Raw genomic sequence first — 16,896 nt, forward strand, 5'->3', positions numbered from 1 at the left:
AAACCAGAAGATGACAGGGAGATGGTGAACAGGAAGTGTGACTGCTCACAGCAAGGCACTGGCAGCTCCAACTTCATCTGAGGAGTCTCAGGAAGACAGAGGCCGCCTGCCTGCTGCAGACCCCTTGGCCCTGGAGGATGCACCTGCAAGGGCGAGTGAAGCTGTCCTGTGCGTGCAGCAGTCACAGCAAGAATGGATTCTTATTAAAAAGCATCCAAGCATCCTGCGCTCCAGCACATGTTCCCCAGGCTGACACCAGGCTGGGTGCCTACCAGGAGGAGGCCTCTGGGACAGGGCTCTGTGGCCTTCCCTACAGAAGGCCCAGCCGGGCCAGCAAGGCCGGGCCAGCAGCATGGTGCCCTTGGAGCTCTCTCCTTGACGCGAGCGGCTGGCACCACTGGACCACCTTGATGGGAAACTGCAGGACAAGGAGTCAAAGGACTGGCCTCAGGGTGCAGTGAGACGAATGCAGGGGGCACTGTGGGGCAGGGACTCTGCTTAAATCCAGGGGCGCATCCTCCCACCACACACACAGCAGCAGGCGGTGAGGACAGGCCTCATGCAGGGAGACAGGGAGCGGCCGGACAGCCTGGCACTCCTCTGACTGCTCAGGGCTGGGCCCTGGGACGGGGCTCCCGCCTCCATGAGGCTGTGGTCCTCACCCCAGCATCTGAGGATCGTCTCTGCCAAGCAAACCCCACACAAGCTTTGCCTCCTCCGGAAATGTCCCTGAAGCACACATGGAGTCAGGGAGAGGGCCAGAGCCAAATCCCTCACAATGACCAACCACCAGGGAGGAGGCTCCGCCAGCCCAACAGCAAGACTCCGCCCAGGCAGCAGGGACACAGTAAGCGTTTCAGGAAGGAAGCAAGGAGCAAGTCCTGTATGGCTCTGCTCACCAACACGAGATGTCCTGACAGGCACTGGGAACCGTCCAGGGAGGAGGAGGCAGCAAGGCTCAACCTGGTCAACGCCAGATGCAGTCACTCCTTCCAGGAGTCACCCGGGCAGCTCCTAAGGTCCTCACCCATCGCAGCAGGCCCCTTCCTCGAGGAGCACGCAGTCCCTGGGAGATCTGTGACACTGGGGGCCTCCCCAGTCCACTGCAACCCCACTCCAGGCTCCCCTGACCGCTGGCTACCCTATATGCCAGAAACAGCCCGACCTGAGCTAGCACTTAATTACATGCCAGATATTCACCCAATCTCCCTGGGTAGAATGGAGGCCATAGTGCCCTTCCCCTTCCTGGGACCCTCTTCAATTAGGAGAGCAGTTCATGGTCGGAGCTGCACAGCACCTCTCAGAGGCTTGCAAAGTAGGCCCAAGAAATATCCTCCGGTGCTATACTTACACTAGCATAACATAGAGCACATTTGAGGAATTTTTACTCAAGTGGTGCTGCTTCAAAGGCAATACATTCTTCTCATTAATCCTGCAGAGTTTTGCTACACATTGTTACAGGGAAACTGTCACATTAGCAGATTATATTGCCTAGCAGAAACAATCTACTTCCAGGAAAAAAAAAATGCTTAGAATCACTGTTTAGCCTGACTGCCAACCTTTCCACCTCATGTTTCTTGGTCTGTGCCAGGGCCAGGCAGGGGAGAGTATGGGCCCCTGGATGTGTCCTCTGTCAGCAAGCACTGCCCTAAACCCAAGCACAGCCTCAAAGCACAGCAGAGCTTCACTTAGCTCGGGGAGGGAGGGATACCGTGCCTGATTCGCTGCCGCAGCCAGGGCCTGAGGGGCTCTGCCACACTCAGCAGATGCTCCGCCAACATCCGGCGGTGAATAAACGACGCCAAGTCAGTTCTGTGTGGGGTCTGCTCCAGGAGAGGCACACCTGCGTCTTGTGGCACCTGCCTCCTCTCCCACCATCAACAACAGCGCCCAACCCCCACCTGCAACCACCCCATGACCCTGAGCTGGACCTTGGGAAAACAGACATCCCTGCAAGGGGACACGCCAAGCTCCATCCCCTCCTCCTGCGGCACCTTCCCCTAACTTCACTCGTTGCAAGCCACGCAGAAGGGAAATGCTCTGAAGAAGACACACACTCCAGTTTCCTGCTCCATCAGGTCACAAATGCTGGGAAGTTTTATTCCAGCTAAATCCTCCCTTCAGTGCCTCTCAGAGCCTAAGTGCCACTCAGCCGATGGGCTCTTCAGGTGATCTTGAGGAAGACACACAGAAAACTAATATTTTCTTTCCCACCTACATTTTATAAACTTTTGGGATTTATTAATCTATCCTTCCAACCACAATGTCCTTAAACAACGTAAATTTACTTGACCATTCTGTCACATATCCAATAGGAAAAAAAGGCTGTTTCGAGGGAAGGTGATTAGTGAATGACTAAAACAATTAACAGCTTTCATTCACTTTAATTTGGTGAATGGAGAAAGGTTTTTTTTTTAAGTTGATTAGGTACATTACAGATGCTATAATAATTTCTTGCATAGAGAAGAGCATTTATTCCAGGCTTAGAAGAGTGCAAACATTTGAAGGAATGTAAGAGAAGAGTGTGTTGTGGTTTAAAACAAGGAGAAAACCTGCAGTAGCAAGAAGCCCCCCACCAAGAAGGCAGGCACAGCTTTGCAGGCAGCTGACCGTCAGGTCTGCTCCTAAGAACCTCGACACTGAATTCACAGCCTGCCAGCCCTGCTTCCAGGAGAGGGTCATGAACAAGGTATTTCTGGTGCTCATTAACATACGTGAATGTCCATTTTAGAGCCTAGCATGTGACTGCTTAAAAACTCTTAGGTCATTTTTAACCTGTGAGCTGATCAGGTGACAATTCCCTGGTCCTGAAGGAGAGGGGGAAGCCCACGTGCAGTGTGTCCCTGAAAAGGAAGACTTGAGACCATATTTTTCTCCACATTCTGCCTCACTGAGAAATTTTTTCTTTTTAAGCAATTGTTTTATAACTATAGTTTGCCATTATCTTTTCATTTCAAAGGGAAAAACATGATTATCAGTTTTAAACATAGAGAAGGAAAAAAATTCATCAGCGCCTGAATTAATCCAAGTAACACGAGATTCATGTCAAAAACCGCCACTCTTTTCATTATGATGATGATTACACGGTGAGGGTAATGAGCTGGGGTTTGCAGGAAGCAGGAGCACGCTTTATTTTCTAACACTTCCGTTCTAAGGCACGGCCAGGTTAACCAATTCTATTTATTCTCCTCCTGTCTTTGGTACTAATGCTATCACAGAATTTAATAAGCACTAGGATGCGCCCCACACCTTAGGTCCACTGAAGGTAAACACCATGACCTCCGTCTCTCAGATGAGGACACAGTGGCTCTGGGAGGTTCTGCTGTACTTTTCGGTGAGGCTGCCGGAGCCGGCTGCAGCCCCACCCCGGAGCCCTGGGCTAGGACCCCTCTGAAGAGCTGAGCGGCTCCTACTCACTCACCAACAGGGGCTCTGCTAAGAACACGAATCCCTGGCTGGGCTCGCCTCCGCCCAGGACCCCAGACACCAGGTGGGGCCTGGCAGGGCCGGCCCGACCAGCAGCCATGCAAGCAACAACACGGGCGAGGGGTGGGCCGCGGTCCGGGGTAAGAGCGGGGGATGGGTAGGGACTGGGGTGGAGGTGGGGAGTCGGTCTGGGTTTGGGGTGGGGCCTGGAAAGGGGCCGGGGTCGGGGTCCCGAGTCAACACCGCGGTCTGAGCCGAGAGCCGGGTCTGGGGTCTGGGCAGGCCTCCGCACCGCACCCACCTACCGTGCTTCCTGTGCGCCGCCATGCGGGACCCTGCCGCGGACCTCAGACCACGGCGCGCGGTCCTGAGCTGAGCGCCGTGCCTTCCGGGTTCCGCCCTCCTGGGTCCGCCCACAACAGCAGGAATGCCCAATCCGAATACGGGACCCCGCCACGGGCGGTCAGTCAACTACATCACGGCCGTAGATTGGCTGATATCGAGTCTGTAGGCGTGTCGCGAGGCTCCAGACCCGCCTCTGGGAGCCCCGCTGTGGAGCATGCGCGGAGGGAGGGCTGCGGGGGCGGCGGTGCGGGCTCTTGGGGACCTGAGGACGCTGTGAGAGCGCTGGCGGCGACTGCTCTACGCGGTGGCGGAACTCTGGGGGCGAACGCTAGGGAGGGCGTTGTGGAGAAGAGGGGAACGGAGGGCCCCAGAGGAGAGGCGCCCACCCCCAACCCCACGGGTGCACCTGCGGATCCCCAGTCCCCGCTTCGCCCCCAGGCACCCGCCGGACACAGGGAATGGCCAGGGCAGTGCCCCCGGCCCCAAGGCACCTGCAGGATACAGGGAGTGGCTAGGGCGGTGTCCCCGGTCCCCGGGCACCTGCGAGACACGGATAGTGGCCCTGGCTGTGACCCCAGCCCCCAGGCACCTGGAGGATATAGGGAGTGGCCAGGGCGGTGACCCCTAGCCCCTAGGCACCTGCTGGATACAAGGAGTGGGCAGGGCGGTGTCCCCGGCCCCCAGGCACCTGCAGGATACAAGGAATGGCCAGGGCGGTGTCCCTGGCCCCCAGGCACCTACAGGATACAGGGAATGGCCAGCCGGTCCCCAGACACCTGCTGGACACATGAGTGGCCAGGGCGGTGACCCCAACCCCCAGGCACCTGCTGGACACAGGGCATGGCCAGGGCGGTGTCCCTGGCCCCCAGGCACCTGTGGGACACAGGGAGTGGTCAGGGCAGCGGCCCCCACGTCACCCCGGCTTGCCAGACCCCTTCTTGTCTCCCTGTCCAGCTCCAAGGGCCTCTGCCCTCCCGCTCCACCCCCTCAGGACCCTCCTCCTTGAATTCGTTTCTTCCAAAACATTTCCCAGGTGTGTGCCAGGCGCTGTTCCTCATGTGGGCTGTCTCAGGAGAGGAACCCACGGAGATGGGTGTTTTGGAGGAAAATGAAGCTGGTAGGGCCTAACTGTAGAGTGATGGGCGCGGGCTTGAGGTAGGTGAGGGAGCAAGACTGGGGGTGCCCAGGGAAAGAGAGCCCACAGGAGGGAAACGATGTCCCAGGAGAACGGCTGCCCTGTTTGAGTTTGGGGACCAGAAGCAAGGGCAGGATAAGGGGAGCTCAGATCAGGAGGAAAGGAGACCCAGACCCAGGCAGGGTCTGCAGGGAGCCTGATAACTTTGCATGTTCCAAGAAGCAGGGTGGAAAGTTGTTACACGATGTAGAGCAAAGGGGTGAAATGATCTGATGCATTTTCTTTCTTTTTGGGGTAGACAGGGTCTCACTCTGGCCCAGGCTGGAGTGCAGTGGTGCCATCACAGCTCACTACAGCCTCCAGCTCCTGGCCTCCAGCAATCCTCCCACCTCAGCCTCCCAATGTGTGGGATTACATGCATGAGCCACTGTGCATGGCCTGATGTACATTTTAAAGAAGTCATTTAGCGTTGTGATGACTAGAGTTGCATGGAAGGAAGTGTGGAGATTTCATCTGCTGCAATAAGAGATGCTGACAGCTCACATCCAAGTGGTGGCACTGGAGGTTCTGGGTGGGGGGGCTAGTTGGATTGTGGACATGTTTTAAGGTAAAGCCAAAGAGATTTTCCGATTGATCAAACTGGGCTGTGACAGAAAAGGAGAAATGTAGAATGGCTGTAAATTTTTCGTTTGGAAACTGGAAGGCTGGAGTTGCACTGAGGAGGTGGAGAGCCTTCTGGGGATCTTCGTTTGGTGGTAGTGTGCAGTTTTAGACAGGTCAAGTTTGAGGTGCTCATAAGATGAGTAAGCATATGAGGTCATGAAGGGAGCAGGCGTGAACTTTAGAAAGTGGTCCAAGGAATAAGCCCCGAGGGGCTCTGGCCTTTGAGAGGTGGGGAGATGAGGGGGCCCAAGCTGTGGTACATGAAGGGTGGCCAGGGAGAAAAGGAAGGTCCTGAAGCCAAGTCAAAGAACGAACCACTGGTCTCCAATGATGTGGATGAAGCAAGAGGAGGACCAGTGATGTACGGTTGCATTTGTAAAGGGCAGAGGCCATCAGGGATCTTGGTTACAGGAATTTTGTTGAAGTGGTAGAAGCAGAAACTTGATGGAAATTCATAGAATTTCGAGGAAAAGTTAGACATTGACTGTACACCATTCTCTGGCGGGACCATGCAAATGGGGCAATAACTGGAGGGTTTTTGAAGACAGAACACATACACACACACACACAGACAGAGAGAGAGAGAGAGAGAGAGAGAGAGAGAGAGAGAGAGAGAGAGATAATTTGACCTGATCAAATTACTGTTGAAAATGAGTGATGCAGGAGGGGAAATAATCCCTGTAATGAGGCTGCATCTTGAACTTGTTCTCCACTTCATCATTCTCACCAGCACTCAAGCCCACTGTGGACGCCCCCATAACAAAATCCTCCCAGGAAATAATGTATTTTTCTCCAGCCCTGTTTCTTCAATCTCTCCCACACTCAAACTGGCGGAAAGAGTTGATTACAAAGCCCGTCTCCACTTTGACGTCTTCCATGGACTCTGTGACCCCGTCCAGCTTTTCTCTCCACCCCTCCACTGCACCTGCTCCTGACAAAGTCCCCAAGGCATCCATGTCCCCAGCTCCAACACACAGTTCTCAGTAAGCATGTAACACACTAAGGCCTCCCAGAAGTGTCATCCAATTGCTGGGCCAAACTTGGGGGTCATTGGTGACTCTCCTCTTCCTCTCTTCCTGAATAACCCATCCAGAAAAATCACATCAAGCGCATTCTACTTGCAACGTGTCTTACTTCCACTGCTGAGTTTGTGTTTTCATCATTTGTCACTAGGATTTCTCCAGCCTTTTTTAAGTTGATCTCTGAAATCCCAGGATTTCTCCGAGCATTTTTAAAATGATCTCAATTCCACTCTTGTTCCTCACTCCCATCCTACCGACATTTCTTCTTATAGCAGCCAAAATGGTCATTTTAAAACCTCACTGCCATTCAAAAATCACTGAAGGTGGACCATCCAGCAACAGGATAGGGAAGAAAAACCACACAATCACATCATTAGATGCAGACAAAGCATTTGACAAAATCCAACACCCATTCATGATTTAAAACCGAAACACCCTCAGCCAACTATGATTAGAGGGTAACTTCTTCAGTTTGATAAGGGACACCTACAAAAACCCTAGAGCTAACAGCATACTAAATGGTGAGAAACTAGAAGCCTTTCCCACTAAGATCAGGAAGAAGGCAAGGCCCCCCCCTCTTGCCACTGCATCTCACTGTTACACTGCAATTCCTGGCCAATGCAATGAGACAAGAAAAGGAAATACAAGGTATACAGATTGGGAAGGGAGAAATAGAAGTTTTCTCTGCAAATGACAGGATTGTCTATGAAGAAAATCTCTGCCTTGCTCAAAATCCTACATCATAATTCATTGTATAGAGGATACAAATCAAAGCCCTTAAAATGTCCTGAAAGACCCCTGAGTTTTTCTCCCGTCACAATCATGTGGTCCTTTTCTCCCTCAGTTGCAGTTATTCTGACTGTTCAGTTAAACGAAAATGTGGCCAGGCATGGTGGCTCATGCCTGTCATCTTAGCACTTTGGGAGGCGGAGGCAGGAGGATCGCTTGAGCATGGGAGTTGGAGATTAGTCTGGGCAACATAACAAGCCCCTGTGTCTACTAAAAATACAAAAAGTTAGCCAGGCATGGTGGCACATACCTGTAGTCTCAGCTACTCAGAAAGCTGAGGTGGGAGAATCACCTGAGTCAGGGAAGTTGAGGCTGCAGTGAGCCGTGACAGCACCACTGTACTCAAGCCTGGACAACAGGAGTGAGACCCTGTCTTAGAAAAGAAAAAAGGCCAGGTACAGTGGCTCACGCCTGTACTCCCAGCACTTTGCGAGGCCGAGGCGGGTGGATCACGAGGTCAGGAGATCGAGACCATCCTGGCCAACATGGTGAAACCCCGCCTCTACTAAAAATACAAATACAAATAATAATAATAATAATGATAATAATAATAATAATAATAATAATAATAATAATAGCAGGGCATGGTGGTGTGCACCTGTAATCCAGCTACTCGGGAGGTTGAGGCAGGAGAATCGCTTGAACCAGGGAGTCAGAGGTTTCAGTGACCTGAGATAGTGCCACTGCACTCCAGCCTAGTGACAGAGTGAGACTCCGTCAAAAAAAAAAAAAAAAAGGCATCAAGTCCTTCTATCTCCCAAGGTCTTCAGGCCTGCTCTTATCTCCCTAAATCCTGTTCCCAGGGCCATGGCAGAGGCCACCTCTGATGCCACCCTCAATGTGCTCTCAGGTCCCCGTGCACTCCCCTGCTGGTTGGCCTCTGGACTTTCTTTGAAGCTTTGGGAGGTGCTCAACTTGGGGAGTGGGGTGTGTGGGTGAGGAGCAGCCCTCAGTCACTGGGACCTAGAAGCTGAAAAGCTGTCCAGCCTTCCTAAGCTGACGTGCACTCCAAGCTGCTCCTGTTAGAGCACCCCAGCAGGACGGGGCCCCGGTGGCCACAGGAGCAGCCCAGCGTCACCGCAGCCTCTGGGACGTCCTCTCCTGCCCTGCCTCTCTCTCCCTACTTCCTCTCTCTAGTTTCCTGGGATCGATCTCCCAAATGAACTACCTGCACCCAAATCCACACCTCAAAACCTGCTTGTGGGAGAACCCAGGGGGAGATTTAATAACGACGTCCTCAAAAAGTTCTTTTCTGATGTCACAAACTGTATTTGTTGCCCTTTTCACATTCACCAATAACACTCCATATGTTTCCTTCAGAGAATTATAACTTGTAATTGTCTGTTCCTTGGGTAACTTCTGGGCGGATCCCTCTCTAGACTGAAGGCTTCATGGGGCGGCAACCGTGGTTTTCTGTGCTGCTCACACGCTGAGAACACAGGAGAGGCCGTCAGTACATTTGTGTGATTTTCTTGTTGCGGTTGCATGAAATAATATATATATATATTTTTAAAAAACGTGAAGGGATGGGGACGAAATGCAGGGGAGGAAAGCAAAGGGAAAGTAAATTGTGAAATGAAAATAAATTGGCCTGGAATCTCTCCCTAGTTGAGGTTTGGGCGCTGAATGCACCTTTTTTTTTTTTTTTTTTGACAGTGGAGACCACTGATAGATTCGGGAAACATTTAGAAGAAATGGACAGCGGCCGGACTTCTTTCTCCCATTCACCTTTCTACCCCCTCGTCGTTTAGCACTCTGCCTTGAAAATAAACTGCAACTGATGAATATTTTGGTGATCAATTATACGGGGAATTCTTACAGAGCCTGTTTTTTGTTTAAAGATCTTGGAATTTCTGGAAAAGATTGGTTTGTCCATTCCAAATATTTTGGATGACCTGATTTCATTCTAACTCCCATCCGTCTTTCTATGCGGTTTGTTTTCGCATCTTTTACCTCATTTAAATGCCGTAGCCATGCAGGTGGAAAGCAGAAATCCATTTCTGCGTTTATGTTAAACTGGGGCTGAGAGACTTGCCCAGGGTCGGTGACCGCCCAGGGATCCCCATACCAGCGCGTCTAGCTCCCGCGTTCCGATCCCGGAAGGGAAAACCCATGATCCTGGCGAGGGTCCGTCCACACGTGGCCAGGGTGGCTGATCTTCCCGGCTGCTGTGGTTGTCAACACCACTTCTCCGGATCGATTTTCCCTTTTCCTCGGCTCTGTCGTCCATACGCCACTCACAGCAAACCCAGGCGGCGGGCCCCCTCCGAGGGCGCTCCTTGCGTCCGGACCCAGGTTCTCGGGGCGCCCCCCGGTGGGTCCCCGCGAAGCCGCCGCCGCACACCTTCCTCAGCGTAGCCCGCCAGTGGAAACCGGGGGAGGTTCTGCCTCCAGCACCCAAGCGGCGGCCGCACCTCGCAGTGAGACCCTCGCAAGCGCCCGCGCCTCCCTCGCCCCGCGTCCCCTCTGCCCCGCGAGCCCCCCTGGGCGCCGAGCCGACTCGAACCCGAGCGCGAGTCCCGCGCACAAACGCGCCGGCGCGTCTCTAACAGCGGTCCAGAAAGGCTGACCCTGCCCGGGGGCGACGGGTGTGACCGGGTCCCCCGCTAACTTTCGGGCGCGGTGAGCGTCGCCTGCGCGCGCCGCGGTGGAGGCCGCTGCTTTCCCGCCGGGAGCCCGGCACAGTCCCCGGGTGACCCGCGCGCCCCGCGCAACAGTTGGAGCCGGGCTGCCCGCGCGCTCCCCAAGCCGGGCCCTTCCCCAGATGCAGCCGCGCGCCGGCCGCCCCCCAGTGCGCCGGTGCCTCCCTGGGCGCCGAGTGCGCAGGCGCCGGCCGTGAAGACCGACCGTGCGCCGGGCTCGAGCGCGGTCTGAGCGCGCGGCGCCTGCGGCGGCGAACGGACGGACGGACCGCGGACGGACGTACTGACCCCAACCCGCGAGCCCCGGGAGCCGTCGGTCTGAGGAGGGGCCGCTTCGCCATGTCGCCCCGCACCTGCTGAGCCCGGAGCGTCCGAGGATGTCCGCGCTGAGGAAGGTGCGAGCCGCCGGGGGCTGCCGGGAGCCGGGCGCGGGGCTCCGAGAGCCGTCGAGGCGGGGAGGGCGCGGTGTGTCGGACCCGCGGGGACGCCCCGAGGGCGTCAGGGTTGGGGGCGGGGGCGAGCGGGGGTCGTGCCGCCCGCCGGGGCCGGAGCGCTGGGGACCCCAGGGACAGCCTGTGCTCGGGGGTCGCGCGTTGCGCTCCTCGCCGGGCTCCGCGCATCCCTGGCCGCGCTCGGGGGTGCCGGGACCCTGGGCTCCGGGGGTGCGGGAGCGCACGGGGCCGCGGAGGTGTGAAATTCTCCGCTCTGCCTGCCCGGGGTGGAGGGGGCAAAGCCTGGGGGGTGCCGGCGCGCCAGGGGCTACGCGCCTAGCTCCGGTGGGGCAGCTGCGAGCGAGTGGGGGCGGCGGGCAGCAGACTGCATCCCCCTCCCCCCAAGCCCGGGTGGAAACGCCGACGGGGACTGGGAATGAATGAAGGGTGCCGGGCTGGGCTGCGCGCACGGGGGCTCGCGGGGGCGGGGGCGACCAGGATGGGGCCCTTGTGCCGGGCAGCAGCGGCTGCCGAGACCAGGCGGAGTGGAGGGTGCGCGCAGCGAGGGGGTGGCCGCCGCCCGGCTCTCCAAGTGCGAGCGAGGAGCTCGGGGTCTTTTTTAGGGGTGGTTGCTAAGCGAGGCGCTACCCAGCGCAGGGTTTTGTAACTAAGCCTCCCCCGGCAGCGGCTGTTGCTGTCTCCGGCTCCTTCGCTAACGATTGCAGGAGAAATAATGAGGATGTAATTATTACAGCCCTGCGCGGAGGGCTGGGGGGCGGCGGACGCGGGCTCCTCTGCCTGCGCGCCCAGGTGGGGCTGGGCTGGGCTGGGCTGGGCTGGGCTGGACTGGACGCCTCTCCCCGCCCGGCCCTCCCTCAGCGCGCGGCGTGTGCGGTGCCCGAGGCTTCGGAGCAGGCTGGACCTGGGAACCCGGGGAGGGGCCTGGAGGAGAGATAGCTGGGCGAGGTGGGCGCCGGCGAGAAGGCGGAGCCCCCGGACAGCGTAGGTTCGCAGGTGGAGAGCGGACGCGGGGGCGAGGGTGCGCGGCGGGTCTGCGATGCGCGTCGGAAACTCGCGGCCCCCGGTCCCGGCCCTGCGCGCTTGGAGCCCGGGTCCTTCCAGCCCCTGCGCGACGCCGCCGCCGCCGCCGCCGGTGAATGGCGATCCCGGCCACGGCCTGGAATTGGAAATTCGTGACTTGTCGGCGGCCCCGGTCTTCTATCGATTAAAGATAAAGCGATCAGCAGTGAATTTATCCTTCGTGTGGATGAACTCGGCCAGCCCGGGCTGTGGGGGGTTTGGGAACTGTAAATATTCTCCAAAGCGCCGCCGCTTCTCCCGTCTTCCCGGACTCGAGGCTGGAGGCAGCTCCGGCGACGCGAAGGGGGGTACCCCCCGGAGAGGTCGGGCCTGGGGCGCGGCGGACAGAGACCCGGTCCCAGAGCCTGGCGGAGCCCGACAATCCGCCCTGTCAGGAGGAATCTCATCAACAGCCCGTGAATTAATTGTCCTTGCAGTTGGGAAATAACCCGGTACCTCGGCGTAGCCCGAGGGAGTCCAGGAGGCTCTCCAAGGAGCCTTCCCCCGGGTCGCGAAGCTGCGCTAAACCCCGGCCCCAGCGCACCTTGGAAGGCGCATTTTGGCCTGAGGTGAACGCACCTTACACCATTTTCATTTTACTTCCTTTTCTCTGAGAAAGGTAATAGATAACCAAGGCCAAAAATGGCGAAATGATGAAAAAATGGTAATTCTTGGCAGGTCAAGTTGTTACTCTGGGTTTAAAAAAATGTCATTAATCAGGATTTTCCAGTAGCCAAATTGTCTTGTGCCGGCAGCTGGGTGACTCACAGATTTGGCTCCAATAGTAATTGTAGAGTGTGCGTACCATTTCCTTCTGGATGGTGTGACTTTTTCATTGCTTGGAAGAGAACACATTAGAATATTTTATCCCCTACATCTGGCAGCATGTGGAGCAGGCTGTAGGCAATACTCTGTCCAAGCACATCTGGGCGGGGAGGCCGTGGAGGGACCGAGGTGACACAGAGCCGGCCCTGTCCTCGGTTCTGTCTCGGGTCACCTGAGGCATCTTCACCGCGGCAGCTCGGGCGCGTGGGATCTGCTCTCAGTGATGACCTGGGACGCATCCTGCCTCTGTGCGCCATTCCTGCCCCTTCACTGTCACTCCTTGGTGATCGCCCGTGTTCTTGGGTAAGCAGTGGAGAGGCACAGAATGGCTTCCTCTGTTGATCTACCGCGTCAAATCTGTATATTATAATTTCAGGTTAAAGGGTAAGAGTTGTAAGCAAAATGAGTACTACGTCAAATAATTCAAAGGAACGAAGTAATTAAAAGTAAAGCTTTCTCAGCACGAAGATGTTTTCTCAGATAAGCATTCTAAGTCAACTTTTCATAGTATTCAATGTCTATTTGTTATTCTTCGAAAGAACTTTGCACTTATGATTGTCCAAAGTGGTACAGCTTGAGACAGAAATAAACATGTATTTATTTACCAACTTTTTGTATGCCTTTTGTTACTTGTGATTTAAATGGGTTAATTCGATTTTTAGTTTTGTAGAATTCAGATCACATGACATTATTTCTCCCCAGTGACATACATGCCCTTCTGTGGCAATCTATTGCTTCTCTTATTTGTGTCTACTTATTTCAGTTTTGAAATTGGTAGAAATTCCAAATTAAATATTAAAAGCAAAAATAGGCTTCGTGGAATTTAAATTACATTGGATTCTGTGTACCCAGAACCCAACTAATTCTGAAACTAAAGTGCTCTAATATCTTTTTAAGGGTGAGAGGATTTTGTTTTGTTTTATTTTGAAGATATCATCTTCCATAATGTTGAAATTGAAGAAATGCTATAATTTTTTTATTATATAACTGTATTTGAGGAAAAGCTTCATGACTCCTCAGTTATCCAAGGAGTTGAATGATGTATACTTTGATTATAGATTTTAAAATGAAGTTGATTAAATATTCTATTTATTGACCCTCAGGATGGATGCTCCATGGTCATTCATTGGATACAATAAAAATAACTATGATTCATCATTTTGGCCAGATGGGAGTCATATTTAGAGCATTGCCATCATGTTGGTTATAAAAGAATTACAGGCTGCCATACAGGAAGTTAGTAGGCACACTTTCTATGCAGTTAAAAATTATTCTTAATCAACCGTAGTTTTACCAACTAGTTTTCATCATACGAGGCTTTCTAGTGCCACTAACTTCTTCAATATGTTTTGTTGTTTCCTGGGTACTTGTGCGTACAAAAACTGAGCATAGTGATTTCACGTGTGCTCATGACAAAAGACTTTAATTTCTAGGGAAGTTAAGCAGATGGGCTTTGGCATTGACCAGGCATGGGGTCGTAGGGTGTGCAAACTCTAGTTTAAATCTTGCATCTACTGGTAGCCACCTTTCCCTTCCAAGGCTTAACAGCAGTAACAAATTAATCTCCTCAGCAAAGGCAGTAGGAGCTCATTTGTAAAGCTCTGTTTTTCTTTTTTCATGTCATTCTTCTGTGCACTGACTTCATCTGCCTATGAAAATCTTCTCCCAGTCCTCAGGTCATGGGCCTTGACATGCAGTCCCTTAACTTTAGCTCCAGGAGAGGGGCCTGGGTGTTCTGACATCCCGGTGATGGGTGTCCGCTGCAGGTGCACCTCTCCTGACTTGATGGCAGTGTCTTCATGTGGGATGTCAGTTGCCTTAGTTCTGGAAGTGTCCTGTCTGTATTTATTGGCGGGCCTTCAGGAGTTGAGCTTTCTAGACCCGTTACTGCAGACTCCAGTGTATTTGCAGTTCAGTGTACGCTTCCCTTTCCAGGCAGCAGCCAGCTCCCCTTAGGGAACACCTGCCACCTCATGGGGTTGGCTTGGCGGACCCTACTTCCCGTCAGAGGTGGCTCCTGACTGGCCGGAGCCCTAACTCCCTCTCAAGAGCAATTGGATGAGTGAAGAGCGGGAACTTTCAAGGAGAGGAAAGCTTTAGGAAAAACAGCGGGAAAGGTGTAAGGCCTGCAGTTGTGGCATCAGTGCACAGCCTTGCAGGGATGGCCTGTCTGGAAATGACACCTTCCTCATCTGTCTGTGGAGGAGAAGGGCGGCTGTTATGCAGAGAGCTTGGTCCTGAGGATGCTGTTGGAAGCTCTGAACTAAGTTATGCCTGAACCATCATTACCCCGTGACTTTCAGTTACATAAACCAGGAGATTGTTTCTTTGAACTGAGTTTTCTGTCCCTGACAAGCAAATGGGATGTATGGGCTTTTAGTTTCTTCAGACATTTCCACATTAAACCTCTTGTTGCAGGGAAAGGCTTATTCATCTTCGGGTACTGTTTCTTATATGGTACATCGTGTGTATCGGCAGGAAAAAAAGAGAAAAATTTAAATCAACCATTTTAAACAATGAATAAACATTTGGAAATAGCCCATCTGTAAACTTGTGTTAAAAATTTTTAAAGTAACCTGTGAATCTGACTGATCGTTGTCTTTAAAATGTTTCATACTCTGTACAAAAGAAGAAAAATGGGAATGATCTCAAGGGTCCATAGAGTATGTATTTTAAGTTAGGCGGTATTGAAAAACATCCTTTTGTGTGTAACGAATGTTTGTCCTGTGACTTTTGCACAGCATTGCAAGTGGCTTTTTAGAGACAGGGTCTCCCTCTGTCACCCAGGCGGGAGTGCACTGGCATGATCATAGCTAACTGCAGTCTTGACCTCCTGGGCACGAGTGATCCTCCCACCTCAGCCTGTCTAGTAGTTGGTGTATGTCACCGCACCCAACTAATTTTTACTTTTTTTTTTTTTGGTAGAGACGGAGGTCTTGCAGTGTTGCCCAGGCTGGCCTTAGATTCCTGTCCTTAAGGAATCCTCCTGCCCTGGCCTCCTCAAGTGCTGGGATTACAGGAGTGAGTCACTTTTCCCAGCTGCATTTGGCTCTTTATTTGACCTCACCGTATTTCAGTTTTCTCATCACTAAGAGTGGGGCCAATGCAATATTAACTTGATAGGGTTAAGGAGGATTAAATGAATTCATGACTGTAAAGTGATAAGAATGGTGCACGTAGGAAATGCTGGATTAGTCTTGACTATTTTTATCATGAAAAAATACAATTGAGGCCTACTTTGAGTCAGTCCACAATGGAAGTTATCAAGCAACTCTTTGATTTCTCTCAAAACTGTTTTATTTATTATTTCTGGTCTTGTTTTACTTTTTTGTATATCTCTTGCCACTTTCCAAAAAGTTTTGGACCCAACTTAACCACAGAAGGACAAGGGAAAAAATGCTAATTAGAAAATAGAAATAGAAAATCGGAAGAAACACATGTGATAACCATGAGGATGGATGTAATTCTCTGGGCATCACGTTTGACACTGAGCTTCCAGGGAGTCAAGTCAACAAAACCCAAAACTACAAAGCCATGTTCAACCTGAGGATCATGCTTTCAGGGTAGACGTTGCATACTCATTTTTTGGTGAAGATAAATTTTCTCTGGCACTAACTTGTAAGAGATGTTCTGAGGGTAGATCTTATATTCAGGGGCTGGGGTTGTGTAATATATAACAGTTAAAAATACAGAAGTATTTTTTAATGATTTTGTCTTGATTTGGTTTCTTTGAAATAAACCAAAAGCAAAACTCACATGCACAGCCTACCCTCAGCACTGATGACCTCTTCTTGGTATTTATTTACTTACTTATTTAGAGACGGTCTCACTCCTGTGTTTCAGGTTGGAGTGAGTGGCATAATCTCAGCTCACTGCAGCCTTGACCTCCTGGGCTCAAGCGATCTTCCCACCTCAGCCTCCCGAGTAGCTGGGACTACAGGCGTGCACCACCACACCCAGCTAATTTTTTGTATTTTTAGTAGAGATGGGGTTTCACCATGTTGTCCAGACTAGACTCTGACTCCTGGGCTCTAGCCATCAGCCTACCCCAGCCTCCCAAAATGTTGCGATTGTGGGCATGGGCCACTGCGCGATGCCTTTTGCTGGTATTTGCATGTGATTTCCGTGGCCGGGTCTTCATGTCTGGATCACTCACTAAGCTACTGTGGTTTAGGGCTGAAGACGTGGATTCACGTCGTGTGTCCTGCAGACAACAGCAGTTTCTCAAGTTTCACGTGCCTTCACGTTTCCTCTGAGTCTTTGCATCTAAATGCCCAGACACCTGTTTTAGCTGAAGGAAGTGACTTGTTCTGGTGGCCGTGGCAGTCTATGGATGGAGCCATCATCGTGGTTCTCTCAGACCCAGCGCCGCTTCCCTCTTCTGTCTCTCATCTTGTGCGTTGGGAAGAAGTGCTCGTTCGCTCAGCAAGCTTAGAGGCAGCGTCTCCTCTCCACATATACCCCCGACCCACGAGATTGGGTTGGGAAGGTTTCTCTGTGCTCTGACTGTTAGGGTGACACCTCTCACCACCTTGTAA

The 16,896-nt window shown here is 52.8% G+C and overlaps 2 protein-coding genes and 2 long non-coding RNA genes across 33 annotated transcripts in view, besides 2 other annotated features; 2 read left to right on the plus strand and 2 right to left on the minus strand.

The window, feature by feature from the left end:
* The window catches only part of ERICH1 (glutamate rich 1), a 116,479-nt gene extending 112,663 nt beyond the window's left edge, over nucleotides 1-3,816 (minus strand). For all 29 annotated transcript variants that reach the window (XR_007060715.1, XR_007060714.1, XR_007060710.1 and 26 more), the window contains exon 1: nucleotides 3,732-3,816. Coding sequence is in view for 17 of the 29 variants with exons in the window: in XM_047421403.1 (XP_047277359.1) it covers nucleotides 3,732-3,753 (22 nt within the window). In the remaining 12 variants the exon portion in view is untranslated. The remainder of the gene's footprint in view (nucleotides 1-3,731) is intronic.
* Nucleotides 452-1,238: an enhancer, noted in NCBI's record as "H3K4me1 hESC enhancer chr8:677860-678646 (GRCh37/hg19 assembly coordinates)". NCBI's record gives its function as "activates a minimal SCP1, AML or CMV promoter by ChIP-STARR-seq in primed H9 embryonic stem cells {active_cell/tissue: H9 hESC(primed)}" and the evidence as "EXISTENCE:reporter gene assay evidence [ECO:0000049][PMID:30033119]".
* Nucleotides 1,299-1,803: an enhancer, noted in NCBI's record as "H3K4me1 hESC enhancer chr8:678707-679211 (GRCh37/hg19 assembly coordinates)". NCBI's record gives its function as "activates a minimal SCP1, AML or CMV promoter by ChIP-STARR-seq in naive H9 embryonic stem cells {active_cell/tissue: H9 hESC(naive)}" and the evidence as "EXISTENCE:reporter gene assay evidence [ECO:0000049][PMID:30033119]".
* On the minus strand, nucleotides 8,626-9,622 carry LOC124902044 (uncharacterized). The gene is made up of 2 exons (XR_007061156.1): nucleotides 9,449-9,622; nucleotides 8,626-8,809 (listed from the first exon to the last, which is right to left on the minus strand). It is a non-coding gene; the product is annotated as an uncharacterized LOC124902044 (long non-coding RNA).
* DLGAP2 (DLG associated protein 2) overlaps nucleotides 10,220-16,896 on the plus strand; it is a 970,849-nt gene continuing 964,172 nt past the window's right edge. For both annotated transcript variants that reach the window (NR_073397.2, NM_001346810.2), the window contains exon 1: nucleotides 10,220-10,417. Coding sequence is in view for 1 of the 2 variants with exons in the window: in NM_001346810.2 (NP_001333739.1) it covers nucleotides 10,400-10,417 (18 nt within the window). In the remaining variant the exon portion in view is untranslated. The remainder of the gene's footprint in view (nucleotides 10,418-16,896) is intronic.
* On the plus strand, nucleotides 11,140-12,966 carry LOC401442 (uncharacterized). Its single transcript, NR_134292.1, has one exon. It is a non-coding gene; the product is annotated as an uncharacterized LOC401442 (long non-coding RNA).

This window comes from Homo sapiens, chromosome 8 (genome assembly GCF_000001405.40).
Source record: "Homo sapiens chromosome 8, GRCh38.p14 Primary Assembly".
NCBI lineage: Eukaryota > Metazoa > Chordata > Mammalia > Primates > Hominidae > Homo > Homo sapiens.